This window comes from Homo sapiens, chromosome 16 (assembly GCF_000001405.40).
Source record: "Homo sapiens chromosome 16, GRCh38.p14 Primary Assembly".
Lineage (NCBI taxonomy): Eukaryota > Metazoa > Chordata > Mammalia > Primates > Hominidae > Homo > Homo sapiens.
In genome coordinates, this window is record NC_000016.10 from 80,643,881 (window position 1) to 80,666,122 (window position 22,242).

A 22,242-nucleotide genomic window follows, 5' to 3' on the forward strand; every position below is an offset into this window, starting at 1 on the left:
CCCGCAGACATCTTCCCCACTGTCTTGGGGATTAACATTCAGCTCCTCATTACTTATGCAAATGTCTGAAGTTGGCTTGAATTTCTCCTAAAACAAAAAAATGGGTTTTCTTGTCTATCACATTGTCAGGCTACAAATTTTCCAAACTTTTATGCTCTGTTTCCCTTTTAAAACTGAATGCTTTTAACAGCACCCAAGTCACCTCTTGAATGCTTTGCTGCTTAGAAATTTCTTTCACGAGACACACTAAATCATCTCTCTCAAGTTCAAAGTTCCACAAATCTCTAAGGCAGGGGCAAAATGCCACCAGTTGCTTTGCTAAAACATAACAAGTGCCACCTTTGCTCCAGTTCCCAACAAATTCCTCATCTCCATCTGAGACCATCTAAGCCTGGACCTTATTGTCCATATCACTTATCAGGCTTTTGGTCAAAGACATTCAACAACTCTCTAGGAAGTTCCAAACTTTCCCACATTTTCCTGTCTTCTTCTGAGCCTTCCAAACTGTTCCAATCTCTGCCTGTTACCCAGTTCCAAAGTCACTTCCACATTTTTGGGTACCTTTTCAGCAACATCCCACTCTACTTGTACCAATTTCATGCTGCTGATAAAGACACTGGGTAGACTGGGGAACAAAAGAGGTTTAATTGGACTTAACAGTTCCACATAGCTGTGGAGGCCTCAGAATCATGGCAGCATGCGAAAGGCACATCTCACATGGCAGTGGCAAGAGAAAATGAGGAAGATGCAAAGGCGGAAACCCCTGATAAAACCATCAGATCTCGTGATACTTATTCACTACCATGAGAACAGTATGGGGGAAACTGCCCCCATGATTCAAATTATGACTTCAAACTATACTACAAGTCTATAGTAACCAAAACAGCATGGTACTGGTACCAAAACAGAGATACAGACCAATGGAACAGAACAGAGCCCTCAGAAATAATTCCACACATCTACAACCATCTGATCTTTGACAAACCTGACAAAAACAAGAAATGGGGAAAGGATTCCCCATTTAATAAATGGTGCTGGGAAAACTGGCTAGCCATATGTAGAAAGCTGAAACTGGATCCCTTCCTTACACCTTATACAAAAATTAATTCAAGATGGATTAAAGACTTAAACGTTAGACCTAAAACCATAAAAACCCTAGAAGAAAACCTAGGCAATACCATTCAGGACATAGGCATGGACAGGGACTTCATGTCTAAAACACCAAAAGCAATGGCAACAAAAGCCAAAATTGACAAATGGGATCTAATTAAACTAAGAAGCTTCTGCACAGCAAAAGAAACTACCATCAGAGTGAACAGGCCACCTACAGAATGGGAGAACATTTTTGCAATCTACTCATCTGACAAAGGGCTAATATCCAGAATCTACAAAGAACTCAAACAAATTTACAAGAAAAAACAACCCCATCAACAAGTGGGCGAAGGATATGAACACACACTTCTCAAAAGAAGACATTTATGCAGCCAAAAGACATATGAAAAAATGCTCATCATCACTGGCCATCAGAGAAATGCAAATCAAAACCACAATGAGATACCATCTCATGCCAGTTAGAATGGCAATCATTAAAAAGTCAGGAAACAACAGGTGCTGGAGAGGATGTGGAGAAATAGGAACACTTTTACACTGTTGGTGGTACTGTAAACTAGTTCAACCATTGTGGAAGACAGTGTGGCGATTCCTCAAGGATCCAGAACTAAAAATACCATTTGACCCAGCAATCCCATTACTGGGTATATATCCAAAGGATTATAAATCATGCTGCTATAAAGACACATGCACACGTATGTTTACTGTGGCACCATTCACAATAGCAAAGACTTGGAACCAACCCAAATGTCCATCAATGATAGACTGGATTAAGAAAATGTGGCACATATACACCATGGACTACTATGCAGCCATAAAAAAGGATGAGTTCATGTCCTTTGTAGGGACATGGATGAAGCTGGAAACCATCATTCTCAGCAAACTATCTCAAGGACAGAAAACCAAACACCGCATGTTCTCACTCATAGGTGGGAATTGAACAATGAGAACACTTGGACACAGGAAGGGGAACATCACACACCGGGGCCTGTCATGGGGTGGGGGGAGGGGGGAGGGGGGAGGGATGGCATTAGGAGATATACCTAATGTAAATGATGAGTTAATGGGTGCAGCACACCAACATGGCGCATGTATACATATGTAACAAACCTGCACGTTGTGTACATGTACCCTAGAACTTAAAGTATAATTAAAAAAAAACAAAAAAATTATCTTCCACTGGGTCCCTCCCACAATATGTGGGAATTATGGGAATACAATTCAAGATGAGATTTGGATGGGGACAGAGAGCCAAACTATATCACTCAAGCCAAAAAATATATAATGAATACAAAAAAATTAACAAACAATAAACTAAATCATAACCAGACAAAAATCACCTTCACTAAAAGGAAGACAGGAATGAAAGAAAGAAGGAAAAGAAGTGCACAGAATTCCCAGAAAACAAATAACAAAATGGCAGGAGAAAGTCTTTACTTATAAATAATAACATTGAATGTGAATGTACTAAACTCTTCAATCAAAAGACAGAGTGGCTGAATTAAAAAACAAGACCCAGGTCGGGCGTGGTGGCTCACACCTGTAATCCCAGCACTTTGGGAGGCCAAGGAAGGCAGATCACGAGGTCAGCTGATCAAGACCATCTTGGCTAACATGGTGAAACCCTATCTCTACTACAAATACAAAAATCAGCTGGGCAGAGTGGCGTGTGCCTGTAATCCCAGGTACTCAGGAGGCTGAGGCAGGAGAATTGCTTGAACCAGGGAGTCAGAGGTTGCAGTGAGCCAAGATTGCGCCACTGCACTCCAGCCTGGAGACAGAGTGAGACTCTGTCTCAAAACAAACAAACAAAACAAAACAAAACAAAACAAACAAAAAAACAAGACCCAATGATCTGCTGCCTGTAAGAAACACACTTCGCCTTTAAAGACAAATAGACTGAAAAAAAAAAAGGATGGAAAAAGATATTCCTTGCCAATGAATACCAAAAAAGAGCACCAGTAGCTATACTGATGTCAGATAAAATATACTTCATCACAAAAACTATAAGATAAAGAGGGTCATTATATAATGATAAATACACAAAAATCAATAGCATTTCTATATGCCAACAGTAAACAATCTGAAAAAGAAATTAAAAAGTTATCCCATTTACAATAGCCACAAATAAAATTAAATACCTAGGAATTAACTTAACCAAAGAAGTGAAATATCTCTACAATAAAAACTATAAAATACTGATGAAAGAAATTGAAGAGGATGCCAAAAACTGGAAAGATATTCCATGTTCATGGATTTAAGGAATCAATATTGTTAAAATGGCCAAACTACCCAAAGTAATCTACAGATTCAATGTAATCCCTCTCAAAATACCAATAATATTCTTCACAGAAATAGAAAAAAACAAAATTTATATGGAACTGTGAAAGACCCAGAATAGCCAAAGCTATCCTAAGCAAAAAGAACAAAACTGCAGGAATCACATTACCTGACTTCAAATTACATTACAGAGCTATCTTTATATCTTCAGCAAGAAGATATAAAATTTTAAATATATATATGCACCCAACACTGGATCACCCAGATATATAAAGCAAATATTATTAGAGCTAAAGAGACAGACCCCAGGAAAATAAGAGCTGTAGACTTGAAGACTCCACTTTCAGTATTGGACAGATCTTCCAGACAGAAAATCAACAAAGAAATATTGGACTTCATCTGCACTATAGGCCAAATGGACTTAATATTTACAAAACATTTAATCCAATGGCTGCAGCATTCTCTTCTGTAGCACATGGATCATTCTCTAGGACAGGCTACATTTTAATTCACAAAACAAGTCTTAAAACATTAATAAATGGAAATATCAAGCATCTTCTTCTCTAACCACAATAGAATAAAAGTAGAAATCAATAACAGGAATTTTAGAAACTATACAAATACATGGAAATTAAACAATATGCTACTGAATGAAGGAATTAAGATGGAAATTGAAAAAATTCTTGAAACAAATGATAGTGGAAACAAAATATACCAAAACCTATGGGATACAGCTAAAGCAGTATTAAGAGGGAATTTTATAGCTTTAAGTGCCTATACCAAAAAAGAAGAAAAACTTCAAATAAACAACCTAACAATGCATCTTAAAGAACAAGAAAGCAAGAGCAAACCAAACCCAAAATTAGTAGATGAAAAAAATAATAAAGATCAGAGTGGAAATAGATAAAATTGAAAAGAAGAAAATACAAAAGATGAATGAATCAAAAAGTTGTTTTTTTGAAAAGCTAAACAAAATTGACAAACATTTAGCCAGACTAAGAAAAACAGAGAGAAGACCCAAATTAATAACAGAGATGAAAATGGAGACCTTTTAACTGATACTGCAGAAATTCAAAGGATCATCAGTGGCTACTATGAGCAATTATATGCAATAAAGTGGAAAAGCTAGAGGACACAGACAAATTCCTAGACACATACAACCTACTAAGACTGAACCACGAAGAAATCCAAAACCTGAACAGATCAATAACAAGTAGCGATATCACAGCCATAATAAAAAGTCTCCCAGTAAAGAAAAGTCTGGGACCCAATGTCTTCACTGTTGAATTCTACCAAACATTTGAAGAACTAATACCAATCCTACTCAAACTATTCTAAAAAATAGAGAAGGAGGAAATACTTCCAAACTCATTCTACAAGGCCAGTATTACTCTGATACCAAAATCAGAAAGAAAAAAAATAAAAAAAAAAAAGAAAACTACTGGCCAGCATCTCTCACGAGCACTGATGCAAAAATCCTCAACAAAATACTAGCAAACTGAATTCAACAATATGTCAAAAAAATCATGACCAAGTGGGATTTATCCCTGGGATACAAGCATGGTTCAACATACACAAATCAGTCAATGCAATACATCATATCAACAGAATGATGGACAAAAACCATATGATTATTTCAATTGGTGCTGAGAACACATTTGATATAATTCAACATCCCTTCATGATAAAACCCTAAAAAACTGGTATAGAAGGAATATACCTCAACATAACAAAAGCTACATATAACAGAACAGCTAGTATCCTGCTGAATGGGGAAAAACTGAAAGCCTTTCCTCTAAGATCCAGAGCACAACAAGGATATCCACTTTCACTACCATTATTCAACATAGTACTGAAAGTTCTAGCTAGAGTAATTAGACAAATGAAAGAAATAAAGGGCTTCCAAAGTGGAAAGAAAGAAAGCAAATTATTCTTGTTTGCAGATGATATGATGTTATATTGGGAAAACTAAGGACTCCACACCAAACAACTATTAGAACCAATAAATTCAGTAAAGTTGCAAGATACAAGACCAACACACAAAAATCAATAGCATTTCTATATGCCAACAGTAAACAATCTGAAAAAGAAATTAAAAAGTTATCCCATTTACAATAGCCACAAATAAAATTAAATACCTAGGAATTAAGTTAACCAAAGATGTGAAAGATCTCTACAATAAAAACTATAAAACACTGACGAAAGAAATTGAAGAGGACGCCAAAAACTATTCATGGATTTAAAGAATCAATATTGTTAAAATGGCCATACTACCCAAAGTAATCTACAGATTCAATGTAATCCCTCTCAAAATACCAATAATATTCTTCACAGAAATAGAAAAATACAAAATTTATATGGAACTGTGAAAGACCCAGAATAGCCAATGCTATCCTAAGCAAAAAGAACAAAATTGCAGGAATCACATTACCTGACTTCAAATTACACTAAAGAGCTACAGTAACCAAAACAGCACGGTACTGGCATAAAAACAGATACAGAGATGAATAGAACAGAATAGAGAACCCAGAAACAAATCCACACACCTACAGTGAACCCATTTTAGACAAAGGTGTCAAGAACATACACTGGGGAAAGATAGCTTCTTCAATAAATGGTGCTAGAAAAACTGAATATCCATATTCAGAAGAATGAAACTAGGCCCCTATCCTATCTCCTGCCATATATAAAAATCAAATCAAAATTGAAAAGACTTAAATCTGAGACCTCAAACTATGAACCTACTACAAGAAAACATTGGGGAAAATCTCCAGGACATTGGTCTACGCAAAAATTTCCTGAGCAATACCCTACAAGCACAGGCAACCAAAGCAAAAATGGACAAATGGGATCACAGTAAGTTAAAAAGCTTCCACACAGCAAAGGAAACAATCAACAAAGTGAAGAGACAAGCCACAGAATGGGAGAAAACGTGTACAAACTATCCATCTGACAAGGGATTAATAACCAGCATATATAAGGAGCTCAAACAACTCTATTGGAAAAAAATCTAATCCAATTAAAAAACTGGCAAAAGATTTAGATATTTCTCAAAAGAGGACATACAAATGGCAAACAGGGATATGAAAAGGTGCTCAACATCACTGATCATCAAAGAAATGCAAATCAAAACTACAATGAGATATCATCTCACCGCATTTTATGTAAAATGGCTTATACCCACAAGACAGGCAGTAACAAATGCAGGAGAGGATGTGGAGAAAAGGGAACTCTCACACACTGTTGGTGGGAATGTAAATTAGTACAACCACTATGCAAAACAGTTGGATGGTTCCTCAAAAAACTAAAAATAGAAATACCATGTGATCCAGCAATCCCACTGCTGGGTATACACCCAAAAGAAAGGAAATCAGTATATTGAAGAGATATCTGCACTCTCATGTTTGTTGTAGCACTGTTCATAATGGCCAAGATTTGGAAGCAACCTAAGCATCCAACAACAGACAAATGGATAAAGAAAATGTGGTACTTATACACAATGGAGTACTACTCAGCCATAAAAAAATGAAATCCTGTCATCTGCAACAACACAGATGGAACTGGAGGTCATTCTGCTGAGTGAAAGAAGCCAGGCACAAAAAGACAGGCATTACCTGATTTCACTTATTTGTGGGATCTAAAAACCAAAACAATTGAGCTCATAGAAATACAGAAGAGGACAGTTACCAGGGGCTGGGAAGGGCGGGGGGCGGGGGAGATGAAGTGGTTAAGGAGTACAAAAAAATAGAAACAATGAATAAGACCTAGTATATGACAGCACAACAGGGTGACTCTGGTCAATAATTAATTTACACTTTAAAATAACTAAAAGAGTGTAACTGGATTGTTTGTAACACAAGGAATAAATGCTTGAGAGGGTGGATACCCCATTTTCTATGATGTGATTATTATGCATTGCATCCCTGTATCAAAACATCCCATGTACCCATACATTTATATACCTACTATGTAACCACAAAAATTAAAAATAATTTTTTAAAAAAGTTAGCTATCAAGCCACCAAAAAAAGAATGAATAGTAAATGCGTATTACTAAGTTAGGGAAGCCAGTCTGAAAAATCTATATATGATACCAACTATAAAACAGTCTAGTAAAAGCAAAAGTATAAAAAGGTAAAAAGATCAGTGGTTGCTAGAGGTTCCAGTGGAATAAGGGGAAGGTCAAATAGGTGAGGCATAGGAGACTTTTTAGGGCAGTTAAAACTACTCTGCATGATACTACAATGGAGAATACTAGACATTAAGCGCTTGTCAAATACCAAAGAAATTTACAGCACAGAGAGCGAATTTAAAAGCATGCCAATTTAAAAATGTCATTTAGGAGGGCACAGGATCTCAGGGTAGAATGCAGAATGTGACAAAAGAATCCATCTGAATTATATATGTATAAAGCAACCTTACTGAAGGGGTTACGGAAATATGGTGCCGACATAAATAACTTTAGAAATGAGCGGAGTTTGTGAAACTAAAGGCAAAATAAACTCTACACAGCACTGTACTCCAGTTGAAAAAGTTGATTCCCATGGCGGTAGGGGCTAACAATTCTGATACTGTTATACTTGTATACTGGAATTGAATGATTAAGTAAATGGATTGCAGATGGTGGGACTTAGGTTTTCACTGTGGGAGTTGGAGTTTACAGATAAGCAAAAGGAGAAGGCTAGAATGTGACCACGGGTTAGAGTTGCAAACACCAGTATGAACTCATTTTTAGTTTGATGCAGATAAAGATGGCTGCATACAGAAATATCTATAGATAAGGGTATATACACAGGTTAGTATACCCATGTGTATTGCCATGCTCTCTCAGCTGAGAGGGCCCAGAATCAATGACATCCCAATAGCAAAGAACATACCTGGGGCACAGATACTAGTTTCTAACACAATTCTCAATAAAAGGACCTAGGAAACTCTGGAGCAATGGCTGACTCTGTAAGTTTATAAGTGCCAGAACAGAAGGAAGTGCTCAAACAAAGCAAAGCAACAACAAAAAAAATCTGCTGCAATGATGGGAGTATGTCAAAAGGACACACGAGCCACCTAAAAGAGCTGTTAATGGCCAAAGATGGAACAATTTGAGCAACAAAATATAGTAGTACTGGATTAAATCTGAAAATATAAAATTACCATCCATGAGTCCATACTGCTTTAAATAAATGATTGAATAAATAAATGCAGAAGAGACAAATCTTCCATGCAGAAGAATTCCCGATAGTTTGTGTAAATATTGCAACCTCAAAGCAATGGAGTATAACTTCCCATTCCTGAGTGAGCACCACGCACAGTGACTTCCATCCCAAGAGCACAGTGTGTAGAGGGGGAGGCGAAGTAACCCTACAGTGGAGAAACCTGACACGCATACCTCAGCCAGGTGGTCACAGTCAACATCAACAGTGACAGGTCACGTTCTTAGTCTTTATGAACTATAGACCTGATAGGATGTGATGAGAATGGCACTTACCCTCTGGGGTCCCTCCTCCCAAAAACTCACAACACCACTCTAATCATGAGAAAAACATCAAACAAATCCCAACTGAGGGACATTCTACAAAATACCAAGCAGCTCTCCTCAAAACTCTTTTTACGACCATAAAAAGAAGGAAAGCCTGAGAAACTGTCAGCCCAGAGGGGCTAAGGAGGCATGATTAAACATAATATTCTCTGAATATTCCCTGAATGGGACTCTGGAACAGACACTAGGTGAAACCTAAATAAAGTATGAACTTCAGTTCATAATAATACTTGAATACCGGTTCACCAGTTTCAACAACAAAAAAAATCATACTAATGTAAGATGTTCATAGGAGAAACTAGGTGTGGGCTATATAGAAACTTGCTGTATTTCGTGTTCCAATTTTTCTGTGAACCTATAACTGGTTAAAAAGTGAAATTTGGCTGGGCGCGATGGCTCACGCCTGTAATCCTGGCACTTTGGGAGGCCAAGGCAGGCGGATCACCTGAGGTCAGGAGTTTGAGACCAACCTGATCAACATGGAGATATTCTATCTCTACTAAAAACACAAAATTAGCCGGGCATGGTGGTGCATGCCTGTAATCCCAGCTACTTGGAAGTCTGAGGCAGGAGAATCGCTTGAACCCAGGAGGTGGAGGTTGCAGTAAGCCGAGATCGCACCATTGCACTCCAGCCTGGGCAACAAGAGTGAAACTCCGTCTCAAAAAACAAAAAAGCAAACAAACGAAAAAACAAAAAAGTGAAATTTATTTTAAAGAGTATTTTAATTTCTTATTTTTCTTCTTTTTATTGTTTTAACTTTTGTGAGTACATAATAGGTGTACATATTTAAGGGTACATGAGACGTCCTGATACAGGCATGTAATGTGAGATAAGCACATCATGGAGAATGGGGTCTCCAATTCCTCAAGCATGTATTCTTTGAGTTACAAACAATCTAGTTACACTCTTTAAGCTATTATTTTAAAGAATATGTTTTAGGAATTAAGTTCATTAAAAATGATGACAATGCTTCCCAGGTGATTCAGACATGCAGGCAAGCTTGAGAACTTCAACCCATGGTTCTTACACTTGCGTGTACACAGGGATCATGGGAGGATTGTGAAAAATCAGGCTGCTCCAGGGTCCAGGCTTTGAGAGCCAGGATCCAGACAACCCAAGAATTCCTCAAACCCCAGGAGTCACTGTGGTGTCGAGTGTGAGCCATCTTCCTCATGCATGGGGCTGCCCCATGCTTGCATGCCAACGGAAGTTGGAAAATCTCCTGGACTGTCACCATTTCTGCCAATGAAGTGAGTGACTGCCCCGTGCAGGATGGAGCCACATCTCACGATGACTCTGCTCAGCCGTGGTGATTTGGGGAAGAAGGGTGCAAGGAGACGCAGACAGGCACTGACCATGTGCTCAGCGCTCTGCCGGGCTGGGTTGGGAAAAAGTCACTACAGAGACTGAGACTCCGGAACCCAACCAGAAGCCCAGCCCGGGAAGCCAACCTGTCCCATGCCCCTCCTAAGGAAGATTACTGTGTGTACACAGCCTGGACAGGCTCCGTGTTCTGATCCTTGGTGAGCAGGATATGAGGATCAAGTAAGATAACATTTAAAGAAGCAGCACACAGTAAACCAGGAATAAATGGTGGCTCTTATTTGCTTTATAATCATCATGCCCAGCTTAGCACAACACCATTCTGGTAATATTTGCTGTCTCTCTAATAACATAATGTCTGAAGGCAAGGCCACTGGCACACTCAGAGCCCAGCGCTGCATAACACCCGTGGCACCTAGAAGCCTACAGGAATTGCCCCTCTGCATACAGGGCCCTGGGTCCACCTCCGGGTGGGCTCAGGCTCATAAATGGCATTGGGAATCTTGGAATCTCAAGGACCAGGCCTAAGGCAGGGACCAGAAAACGCTCCACCAAACCCTGCTACATGCAAGGCAACGCTTCAGACATCAGAGCTGCCCGGCATGGAGATGGGCCTGTGCCACCCACAGCTTCTGTGAAGCCCCAGTTTTGTATTGTTCCCTTACCAAAAGCAATCAGGCTTTGTCAAACATCAAGATGCAGCTCCTGACACCAGGTAAAATGATTCAGTGAACTTCGGAGAGTAAACACGAGTGTCTAATTACAAGGCTTGTGTAGAGGGAGTTGTTCCTTCAGGGTTAATCTCAAACCCTCAGCAACTCAGAAGGCCTTCCTAATCAGACAGAGCTGGCTGTGGTTTCTGCAGCGGCCCAGGCAGATCCAGGGCACGGTCCCGTTCGTGGAGGCTTCACCTCATGGGAGCTGCTTTTGGTGGGCGCAGGGTGTCACCAGATGCCCAGAGCCTGGGGACATCCATCCCTGCTGGGGCCAGGCCAGGCCTTTTCTGAGCAGCTCTAAGGCTGGGTGTCAATTATTGAACAGTCTTATACATTTGCCATTCTAGTTAGTCCATTTTACAGATAAGGAAAAGTGAGTACCTTGCTGGAAGTCACAGAGATTGTAAATGGAAGAGCCAGGATTGGAGCCAGCCATCTCCTCATTTTATTCATTCATTCATTCAAAATCTAGTTACTTGCCACCTCCTATGGGCTAGGTATCTACCAGGTGATGGGGATCCAAAAGAAAGTAGAGAAATAGGGCCTGTGCCCTCATGGAGCTTGCTTTGGGTTGGGGAGATGAAAAGCTAACAAGTAACTAATACCTAAAAAAATTACAGATTGGAAAACAATAGGGTGATGTGATAAAGAGTGATGCAGGGAGGGGAGGTGTTCGTGAACCCAAATCTCATGGTCTTTCCATTAGCGCAACAGGGTGGAGAAGCACCCGAAGAGACGAGGGCCCTGAGGCCATCTTACCAAATAAGCCATGAAACTAGCAGAGGCAAAGAGACCCTCCTACCCTCTGCCAGGACACTGGGCTCGCCTCTCCGATAAACTTAGAAAGATGCAACACCTCTGAGCCAAGCAGGGATCAGAGCCTCCTTGAGTACTGGATTCAAAATGTGTGCAATTCTGGATGCGGGTGGCTGAAACGGGCCTTCTCTCCAGGAGACGCAGGGGAATGGTGCCTCCAGAGCCCCTCAGACTCTGCCCTCTCACCGAGCAGTCCTCGAGGTCCCTCTCCTTCAGGAGCATCATGCTTCCCGAGTGACAGCAACAAGCTGGCAGGGAAGACGCTGTGAGAAACAGAACATGTTGGAACTGTGGAAGCTTAGGGCTCTGCAGTCAGAGGACATGGAAATAATCCCAGCCCTACATTTGCTAATGGGAGAAGCAAGGAAGCCACACGAGCTCTTGAGCATTGGTCTCCTTGTTCCCACAAAATATGAGAAATGAGATTCAATCTTACTTAGTATTTTAAAAGGTAGGGGCTAAAAGTACCTACTCTTCGGGCTGTTTTGAACTCAATCAATTAAAGAACTGACCTGGGGTCAATAAAGTGCCCAGCACACTCCAGGCACTTCTCCAATGTCAGCTGGAGGACACCAAGGCATTCAAAAAGGAGGAACTAATTGGTGAGTGTCCCTAATCATGCCTCTCCTACTCCCAACCCCACACCCAGGCCTAGGCCAAAGATTAGGCATTCCAGGCACAGAGGGGACTAACTGCTCTGCTGAGCCCAAAAGCCAGGGTGACGTCCAGTCGGGGGCACTGCCTGCATTCAGATCCCACATCCCCCTCATGGGCTGCAGGGCTGGACAACTTGCTCGCCTGTTCTGTGCCCCCACTGTCCTGCGTGTGAAATGGGAGGGCAGCTGAGAAGTAAAGGAAATGGTGCATGCTACATATCTGGAAAATAGGAAAGCCCCCATCATGCTAGTTTCCTTCCTTCTGTTCCCCTCAAGACTTCCAACATTCCCTCCTTTAGCGTACAAAGGAGTATTTCCCATTAAGAAGGCTCCATAAACTCACGTGCTGACACCGTGCCCCTGTTCCAAACATACAGAAGCGACAGATAAAATACAAAAGGAGAGAGTCAATAAGATGAAGCCGGGCTCACAAACGAGATAATCATCTCTGCGTATGAGAGGCACAACACTGACACAAAGCAGTCAGTGGGGTGGGAGAGGGGAGGGAAGATGTGGGTTCTTCAAAGGCAACAAGGACTAAGTCTTCCCTGCAAGATGGGAGGGGGAGCCCAGGCTTAGAGCTGGAAGCCAGGGGATGAAGTGAGCTGTCCACCCTGAAGGCAGTAAAACAGTAACCAAGGGATGTGATATCCACGGCTAAGGCTTTATTAGGATCTCAGGACCAGGTAGAGGCGAACACAAAACTATCAGAGAGAGAGAGAAGGAACGAGAAACGAAAACAAAACAGAAACTTTGCTCTTGAAATGAGCCTGCACACCAAAATACCAAAACTTGTAGACAGCTCACGCTTAGAAAACAAGCCAGCAAAATCAATACTCAAAACATGAATTACTCCAAATAAAATTAAATTAACATCATGAAACAATTTGACAAGGACTTTAAAATAGGAACATTTCAAATGCTCAGATGCAAGAAAAACATTCATTTAAAATAAACAAGAAATGTTCAAACAAAAGCAGACAGAAAGGAAACAAGGACAGTGAATAGCATAAAGAACTAATTAAACAGCAAATGACAAACTGGGAAAAACAGTTGTGTATCACAGATAAAAGGCTAATATCCCCAATTGTAAAGAACTTTTAAACACTGAAGATAAGAAGACCAAAAATTCCTTCAGGAAAAAATGAACAAAAGACAGAACAAACAATCCACAGCATTACACAAAAATGGCCCTTAAATAGAAGAAATGGCTCCAAATCCACCCAAAAGAATAGTGCACATTAAAACTCATAACAAAGAAAATTAAAACTACACTGAAATACCATTTCTCATGCATCTTATGCTTGGCAAAAATTCAAGACCTTGACAATATACTCTGCAACAGAGAATGTGGGGAGTCAGGCATTATCTTCATTGTGGGGGAGATACAGAAAGGTACAAGTGTGATGGGAAGAAATTTGGCAGTATCTGACAACACTGTTTATGCACTTACTCTCACGAAACCCAGCAATCCCACTTCTAGAAATTTAACAGGAAAACTGTACTTCCAATGGTACAAATATATATATGCATAAAATTATTGTAGCTTTATCTATAACTGCAAAATACTGGAAACTACCTAAATGTGCAAGCATAGACTGGTGAAATAAACTACGATGCACCCACACAATAGAATACTATGTCGCTCTAAAAAAGAAAGAGCTATCTCTATGAATATGGAGTGGTTTACACAGTATACATTCCAATAAAGAGAAGAAAGGTGGAAAAGTACTTTACCTTTAAATGTAAAAAAAAAAGATGGGAAAATAACATAAATTTGCTTTTTTTTCCAAAAAAAAAAAAATCACAAGAAGAATAAACCAGAAAACAATGAAATTGATTATCACAAGTGGTTGGCAGGGAAAATTGAGTAAAAGGGATGGGGAAGAGGTGACCCTTCTTTGAGGATATCTTTTTGTTTTAATTTTTGGAAGTATGTTAAAACATGTTAAGATATAAAATAAAAGCAATAAAGATGGGGGGTGGAAATAAACTAAATGAAAAGAGAAAGAAATAAACCTAATCGTCTTTCAAAGGAATAACATAACCACATCAAAAGGGGAGAGGGGAAGAACAAATACAAATAACTTTTGGATATAATATTATGAATATACAACAGATAAATCTTGAACTCTTCTTAGTGGGTTTGCTTTTCACTGTGGTAAGAATGGAGCAATTCTAAGATTATTTTATGAGTAGTTCAGGATTGAGAAAATGAGTAAATATATGATATTGTGGAGAAATAGGATTCTCTCTGTGGAAGAAGACATACAAATATGGGATGCAGAGAGGCAAGGAAGAATCCAGTGAGGTTAAAATGGATCATAGGTATTGGTAAGAATTCATGATTTTAAAAATTATACATATTTCCTAGCTCTGTCAGCTGAAAAGGCTTAGAAGAAATGAAACCCAAATAGCAATGAGCTATGTAGATCCCACATGTTGGTTTCTAAATAACAATCCCACTAAAATAAACAAGGGCTCCTAGAGAAATGGCTGCTTCCAGGGCTTGGGCAGGTAAGGTATACTTTGGGCTAGAAAATCTTATTGTACCTAAAAATAGGAAGTGATCAAAAGAATAGCCAGGCATTGCAAAAGGGCATATAAGGCAGCTTGAAGGGGCTCCCACTGGCCAAATCTTGGATGTTTTCAATAGTAAAATAAATAATGGCAGTAATAGATTATAAACTGTCACATAAAGTAAGAATCCTTGAATTTGTACTCACGATAGAGGTGATGGATGGATGGATGGATGGATGGATGGATGGATGGATGGATGGATGGACAGACGGATGGATGGATGAACAGACAGATGAGATGGATAAGAAGGAAGAGCATCATATCAGCTAGTTCAGTGCATAAGCTAAATCTAACCTTGAAGAAACATTAGATAAACTCAGTAAAATAACTAGCTTGTATTCTTCAAAAATGTCAGCGTCATTAAAAACAATGGCAGACTGAAGAACTGTTCCAGATTAAAGGAGACTACACAGACATGGCAACTAAAGGCATCATGGAATTCTAGACTGTATTCTATATTGGAAGAAATAAATATCTAAAAGACATTATTGCGGTAATAGCAAAAAAACTGAATGTGGGCTAAAATAAAAGTATTGCATCAACGCAAAATTTCTTGAATTTCTTAACTACATTGTGTTTACTTAAAAGAATATCCTTTTATAAAATATCCACACTAGATATTAAGGGGTAAGGAGGCATAATGTATAGTCTACACTCAGATGGTACAGAAAAAGAACAATTTGTATATAGTTTATATAATGTGTATATATTATAAATATGTGTGTCTATATACATATACATATACAGACACACACAGAAAGAGAGAAAAAAGTTAAAAAAACTGGTTAATCAGAAAATGGGTCCTTCATAGTTTTCTGTAAGTTTGAAATTATTTCAAAATAAAAAGTTAAATATATTTTAAACATAAATATCCTGCAGATAAGAATCAAAGTTCTATATAAGGGATAACTCTAAGAAAAGAATAGCTGAACTTTTTGTAGAACTCAAAAAGAAAAAGTTCTCAGTTTGAAAGAGCACTCTAAGTACCAAGCAGGACACACAGACAAATAATATTAATGATAAACTGTAGAATTCCATGGGTAAAGAGTTCTTAAAAAAAAGCATAGACAGAAAAATCATATTGTCAAAAAGGAATGGCAGACTGAAAACAGCAATAACAGAGGCTTGAAAAAATGAGCTACTATTCATCAAAATGCTGAGACAAAATAACTGTCAACCAATTTTATACCCAGCTAAAGCAGCATTTAAAGGACCACATAAATGGACATTTTCAGGTGTTCTAACACCAAGAAAATTTATCTACCACAGACTCTAAAAAAATTAAGAGAAACTTAGCAAATCAAAAATTTAATTCAGAGGAAGACACGGGTAAAAAAATAGATTTTTAAAATTTTAGTAAATGTAATTACTGGCTGTGAAAATAATAATCAATGGTGTTTAATAATGTTGGGTGTATAAAATAATAGTAAGATGTGGAAGAGACATGTTCAATGACAACTGAAAGCCAAGCAGAAGGAAGCATCTTGCCAAATTCAGTAAGAGGACATCATATTTGTTAGAAAAAGATCATACTTTAGTATGTGTGCTGAAGTTTAAAAATACAATCTACAGCTAGCTTCTGAGTCAGCCCAAGGAGAAGGAATGTATAAAATGTATCAATCCAGTGAAAAGCATTAAAAGGTCAGAAAATAGGAATGAGAGAGGGAACAGAGAACAAGAATGGGTAAAAATAAAATGCTACCTAAAATAGGAGAAATAATCCAAATATCTCAATAATTACATTATTCTGTGAACATATTAAACTCATATTAAAAGACAGAGATAATCACACTGGATAAAATAATAAAGATGTGTGTAAGATTTCCTGAGGAGAAACTCTGAGACAGAAAGAGGGATCTCAACTCAGCAAAGAGGGGAAGAAAAACTGCCCAATCAATAGAGAAATGCCAGAAGGATCCCAGGGGAATCAAGAAATGGTGCACAGTGGTCTACATGCAGCAACAAAAGGTGTCAGGGAATTCACTGCAGTGTGCAAGACACAGAAGGAAAGATAGAAACTTGTCATTAAAGATACAGGGGCAGCTGCCCCTGAGCTAGGGGTAAGCTGTCTGAGAGGGCAGGAAGTGGAGGGCTGGGGTTGGGGTGAGGCCACAGAGCCTGAGACAGACAAGGACAGACCGTAGGGCACTTCTACCATGCAAATAAGTTTTCAGAAAACACAGCCACTCCTGGCAGGGCACAGGAACCATGTCCAAGTTCTCCACCAAGAACATTTCAAACCCCAGGTACAGAACACCACCACATTCCCTTCAGGCCTGGAGGAAGGGAGGAAAAGTTTAGACAGATCGCTGAAGGATGCTATCCCCAATTGAGGGATACATTATCCATTCTGGTTCCTCACTTAACACAGCCATCCTCAGAAACCAGGGTGGCTCCTTGATTATTATGGGCAGCTGGAGTAGAAGTGATCTACACCTGCCCCCACAACAGTGTGAAATGGAGACTCCAAGTGTCACTTTGGCATATTCCCCAGAGTCCTTTCTCTCAACTATGCAATACTCACAAGTTGCTGAGTGCCTACTATGGGATTCACACAGGTTGTCTCATTCCATCCTCATCACGACCCTGTAGGACACTGTTTACATCCCCATTTTAAGGATGAGAAAACCAAAACCCAAGGCCATGCCACTGGGAAGTGCCAGCATGAGGGTCAAACTCCAGCATCTTGACCAAGCTTGATGCTGGATTCGAGCATCAAGACACTGAAACTAGCCCTGGTCTCAGGCCCTCTTCATGGTGTTGGCTCTGATGGATGTTCTGCTTTTGTTTTCCAGAGCCTAGTCTTTGCTGAACAAAGGAGGAAAGAAAATGTGGATGCCACATCTGATTCCTGTGTCATGTGATGCTTTACCAAGCAGAGCTCATTTCACTATGTTATCATCATCCATACACCTGCTTGAAGACCCTACCAGACTGTGGCCTCTTGAGGGATAAGCCTGAGATGTATTCACCTGTGTGTCTGCAACACAGAGCGCAGTGCCTAGAGGACACCGCATGCTTAACCCAGTGTTCATCCAATGACTGCATGAGCAAACAATCAGGTGGGGGAACTCACTCCAGCAATCACAACATACCCCACGCCAAATTCTTAATAATGTTCCTAGTATGTTCCTAGTGGTGCATTCCGTATTCACCTCACTCACAGATCATGAAGTCTCCATGTGTCAAACATGCTTGCAAAGCTTTGTATTGGCCTCATACGTGAAAACACTTGTTTTCTGCAATCCAGTTGATCTCACACCTAGATGACTAACTCGTATTTATATCACATCTGGCGCTCTGAGTGAGATCCCACCTCTCAAAGACACCCAAGGAGAGAACACAGCGTGAGTGCTATGAATTTTCCTTCCATTGCAAACAAAATAGTAACACCTTGTGTGGCTTGAGACATCAGAACACAGAAGGAAGTTAGTGAGACCAGAGTCATTCTCCCTCCTGGAGAAAGCACCCTTCCTCCCTTCCCCACTTGCTAAAAGTCCCCTACTTTTTGATGGAGCTCCAGGGATATCTCTTCTGCACATTCTTCCAGAGCAGTGCATCTCTCTTCTGGTTGTTTGTACACCCTTCTTTTACTCTCCTTATTATCCTCTCCCATGTTCATTCAGTACATACTTAGTGAGTGTTCACCAGATGCTTAGCACCTGGGGTATACGGATGGGCAGAACCAGACATGGATCTGCCTTCAAAGAGCTTACAGTCTGATTCAGAACTTCCTGCAATGATGAAAATGTTCAATATCTGCATTGTCTAATACAGTAGGTGGAATCCACATATGGCTATTGAAATTTTAATTTTTTAATTTTAACTAATTGAAATATAACTCTAACCACCTGTGGCTGATGGCTACCGTACTGGACAGTGAAGGGAATCACACTGTAGGAAAATCATCATGGATACCTTCCACATCTTGACAAGGATTTTCTCAAATGTCTGGCTCCCTCCTCACCACCAGATGGATTCTTAAAGGCAAGGGCTGTTTTAGTTATTCATATACCTTCAGAACCAGCGGAGGCCCAGCACAAAGAACGACACAAGTCATTCTTTGTTGAATAAATGAATGAGTGAATAAATGAATAAACACTAGACTTACAATGGAGGACCTACAGAAGTTCTTACCTCTTGATCAAAAGACATAGGGGAAAAAAGCAAGAGGCTGGAAGATAGGATAAAAAAATTGTGGTGTTGGGGGTCTCCTTCTAGCCCCCTAAAAGACACAGGTGCAAAGCACTTTCCTTCCAGTCCATTCTCCCCAGTGTTCCAATCACTCTTATCATCTTGGGGAGCAGATACAATTAACAGAGAGAACAGACCAACCCAGGGGGAGTTCAGCTTGAGCACTTCCGGTCATCAATCATGTCAGGAGGTGAGGTGGAGGGGAGAGTTAAATAAAAGAGAAGACTCATCAGTTCTACAGTTGAGTGGAACCAAAAGCCCCTAGTCCCATGTACAGAATCCTTGCTCTCAGGACCTGAATGCAATAGCAGGGCTCAAATTCACAGGTGCATTCAAGAAAAAAAAAAATCTTAGCCACAGTTAACTGTCATCTGGCATGTTAAAATTATGCCAGATAAAATCCATACACTTCGAATTTTAAGAAAGTTTAGGTTCTCAGATTATCTAATCACTACATCCAACACCTCTAAGTAATCTTATGATGTTCACTGTCAGATGTCTAAATTTTTTTTTTCTTTTGAGACAGAGTTTCATTCTTCTTGCCCAGGCTGGAGTGCAGTGGCATGATCTTGGCTCACTGCAACCTCCGCATCCTGGGTTCAAGTGATTCTCCTGCCTCAGCTTCCCAAGTAGCTAGAATTACAGGCACCCACCACCACACCCAGCTAATTTTTGTATTTCTAGTAGAGACAGGGTTTCACCATGTTGCCCAGACTGGTCTCGAATTCCTGAGCTCAGGCAATCCACCACCTTGGCCTCCCAAAGTGCTGGGATTAGAGGTGTGAGCCACTATGCCCCGCCTAAATGTTTAAAGCATTCAGCAGTGTAAAGCATGAATTCAAAATACAAAACTAACCTGATTAAAAGGAACTTTTTCTACAAATCAAATCATGTCTCCTGCATTAAAACCCTCCAAGGCCATGCTAACTCCAAAAGCTCTATTATGCCAGGATCCTGGTATGTGGCAAAATATTCTGTAGGGTATCAAAGTATAAAGTGATTTCCTTTAAAATTCATTTTTATCACCTTTTCTTGCAACTCCCCTGCTCAAAAGTTCACATGCCTCCATCGTCTGGCCTCATCCTGTTTTCTGGCCTTAACTCCCACTCTTGCCCCATAAACACCTTAACTTCCAGGACTGTCTGAGGTTCTCCGAAACTGAGTTTTCCACCCTCTGAGCCATTACTTCCTCTGTTCCCTTGGCCAGGAATGTCATTTCCGTCCACCTTCACACATCTAATCCTCCGGGGCCACTTGAAATGCTTCTCTTCCAGACAGCTGTCTCTTCCTCCCCAAGCGCCGGGAACAGCCCATCCCCAGGGCTCCGGTGTCCTGGGCCTTCCTGAGTTCGCATGCTCAGCTTTGCAGCAGGTCACTGGGGACCAGCTGATCCCTTAATCAGCTTAATAAGCTTTGAGTTCTTTGGAAGACACGGCTGGTCATCTCTACAGCCTTCGTCCCCACCACATAGTGAGGGGAAAGCAAATGCCTCTTTAAGTGAACTGTAGGGGAGAAAATGATCTCAAAACGCTAAAAATTTTTTAAAGTTTTCCAAATACAATGTAGCTCTCTTCTGGCCTCCCAGATAGCCCTGTCCCTCAAGAAGCAGAAAAGGAGAATTTAGGAATCTAGGTCTCAAGCCAGGACAACTAGATCTGAATCCTGGAACAGCCACCTACTGACTAATAGACTGTAGGCAAGCTATTTCACCTGCATATACCTCAGTTTCCATATCCGTGAAATGGGAAGGGTAATGACCCTCCCTGCTAGGATTAACTGAGGAACTGCCAGTGCTAGCAAGAGGGTTTGGCTTAGCAAGGGCTCAGTAAATGCTGGCTATTTTGACATGGTATGGAGATTGTCAATGTATTTGTCATTTCCCCATTTGTTTGTTTTCTTCCCTAAACTCTGTCTTGCCTTACTCATCATACCCCCAGAACGAGGCATGCTGAGACCTGCTTCTAGGTATACAATACTAGCTCACAGCAGTCATTTAATAAATATTTCATGAAGAAATCATAAATGGCATTTATTAATGATGCTTGAAATAGATGTTACATATTTTCTACAAATCTTCTTAATTAAAATATAGTTCTCACTGTCTAGAACACTCTCCCCTCTCCTCTTTGCCTGATCAAGCTCCATGCATCCTTCAGGTGGAAGCTGCGTCTATAATCTCCTTGCTTCGGTGGTATCCACGTTCATGTAGGGCACTGCCGTACCTGCTCACAGTTCACTGGAATATTTGGCTCTTTCCTCAGTTCTTCCCACAGGAATATGAGTTGGGCTGTATCCTCAGCACTCAATGCCATGCCTGGCACACACGAGGGCTCAACAGATCTTGTGACCAGTTGTTTCTCATTCACTGCCACCAAGTATTAGGTTGGTGAAAAAGTAATTGAGGTTTTTGCCATTAAAAAAAAAAAAAAAAAAAAATAGCAAAAACCGCAATTACTTTTGCACCAACCTAATAATATGAGGAGTTACTGGTGGAAGCCAGGCCAGAGATGGAGATGTCTTGCTAAACCTCCAGGAACTCAGGACAGACCCTCTTTCTGCAAGGGTGGTGAAGTGGGAGGGAATCGGGAAAGGAGATGAAGATGGGAGAAGCTTCCAGAGGTCCACAGTGGAACAGAAGAAGAAAGAACAAACTCGGAGGCAGAACCTCCTACTCAGTGGCACTGTCACCAAGATGGCAGGTGAAAAACTCAAGACTCTAACTTCCATGGAAAAGTCACAAAAGTAACAGAGTCCACTGTCCTGCAACCCATTCTTTGTGATGTGGCAACAGGCACCCAGGGGCTGTCCCTCTTGATTTCGCCTTGCTGGCTTATGCAACAGAATAAAACCTAATATCCTAGGATCAATGAAAAAACGACAGGGCAGGCTGAGGGTGGGGTAGAAAAGCACATTCTTGAGCAAAGCAGGAAGCTCCACCTGAAGCGGAGTCTGACAAAGGAGAAGAGAAATGAAGACTCATGAGGCGCCAGGACCCACTGCTTCATCCTTTCTGGCAGGCTTGCTATTCCCGG

The 22,242-nt window shown here is 40.3% G+C and overlaps 1 protein-coding gene across 4 annotated transcripts in view, besides 2 other annotated features; it reads right to left on the reverse strand.

Moving 5' to 3' along the window:
* CDYL2 (chromodomain Y like 2) overlaps positions 1-22,242 on the reverse strand; it is a 207,131-nt gene that overhangs the window by 45,974 nt on the left and 138,915 nt on the right. The gene's annotated exons all lie outside the window — the stretch shown is intronic.
* Positions 12,867-12,916: an enhancer, noted in NCBI's record as "active region_11169". NCBI's record gives its function as "activates an Ori minimal core promoter by ATAC-STARR-seq in GM12878 lymphoblastoid cells {active_cell/tissue: GM12878}" and the evidence as "EXISTENCE:reporter gene assay evidence [ECO:0000049][PMID:35858748]".
* Positions 13,067-13,206: an enhancer, noted in NCBI's record as "active region_11170". NCBI's record gives its function as "activates an Ori minimal core promoter by ATAC-STARR-seq in GM12878 lymphoblastoid cells {active_cell/tissue: GM12878}" and the evidence as "EXISTENCE:reporter gene assay evidence [ECO:0000049][PMID:35858748]".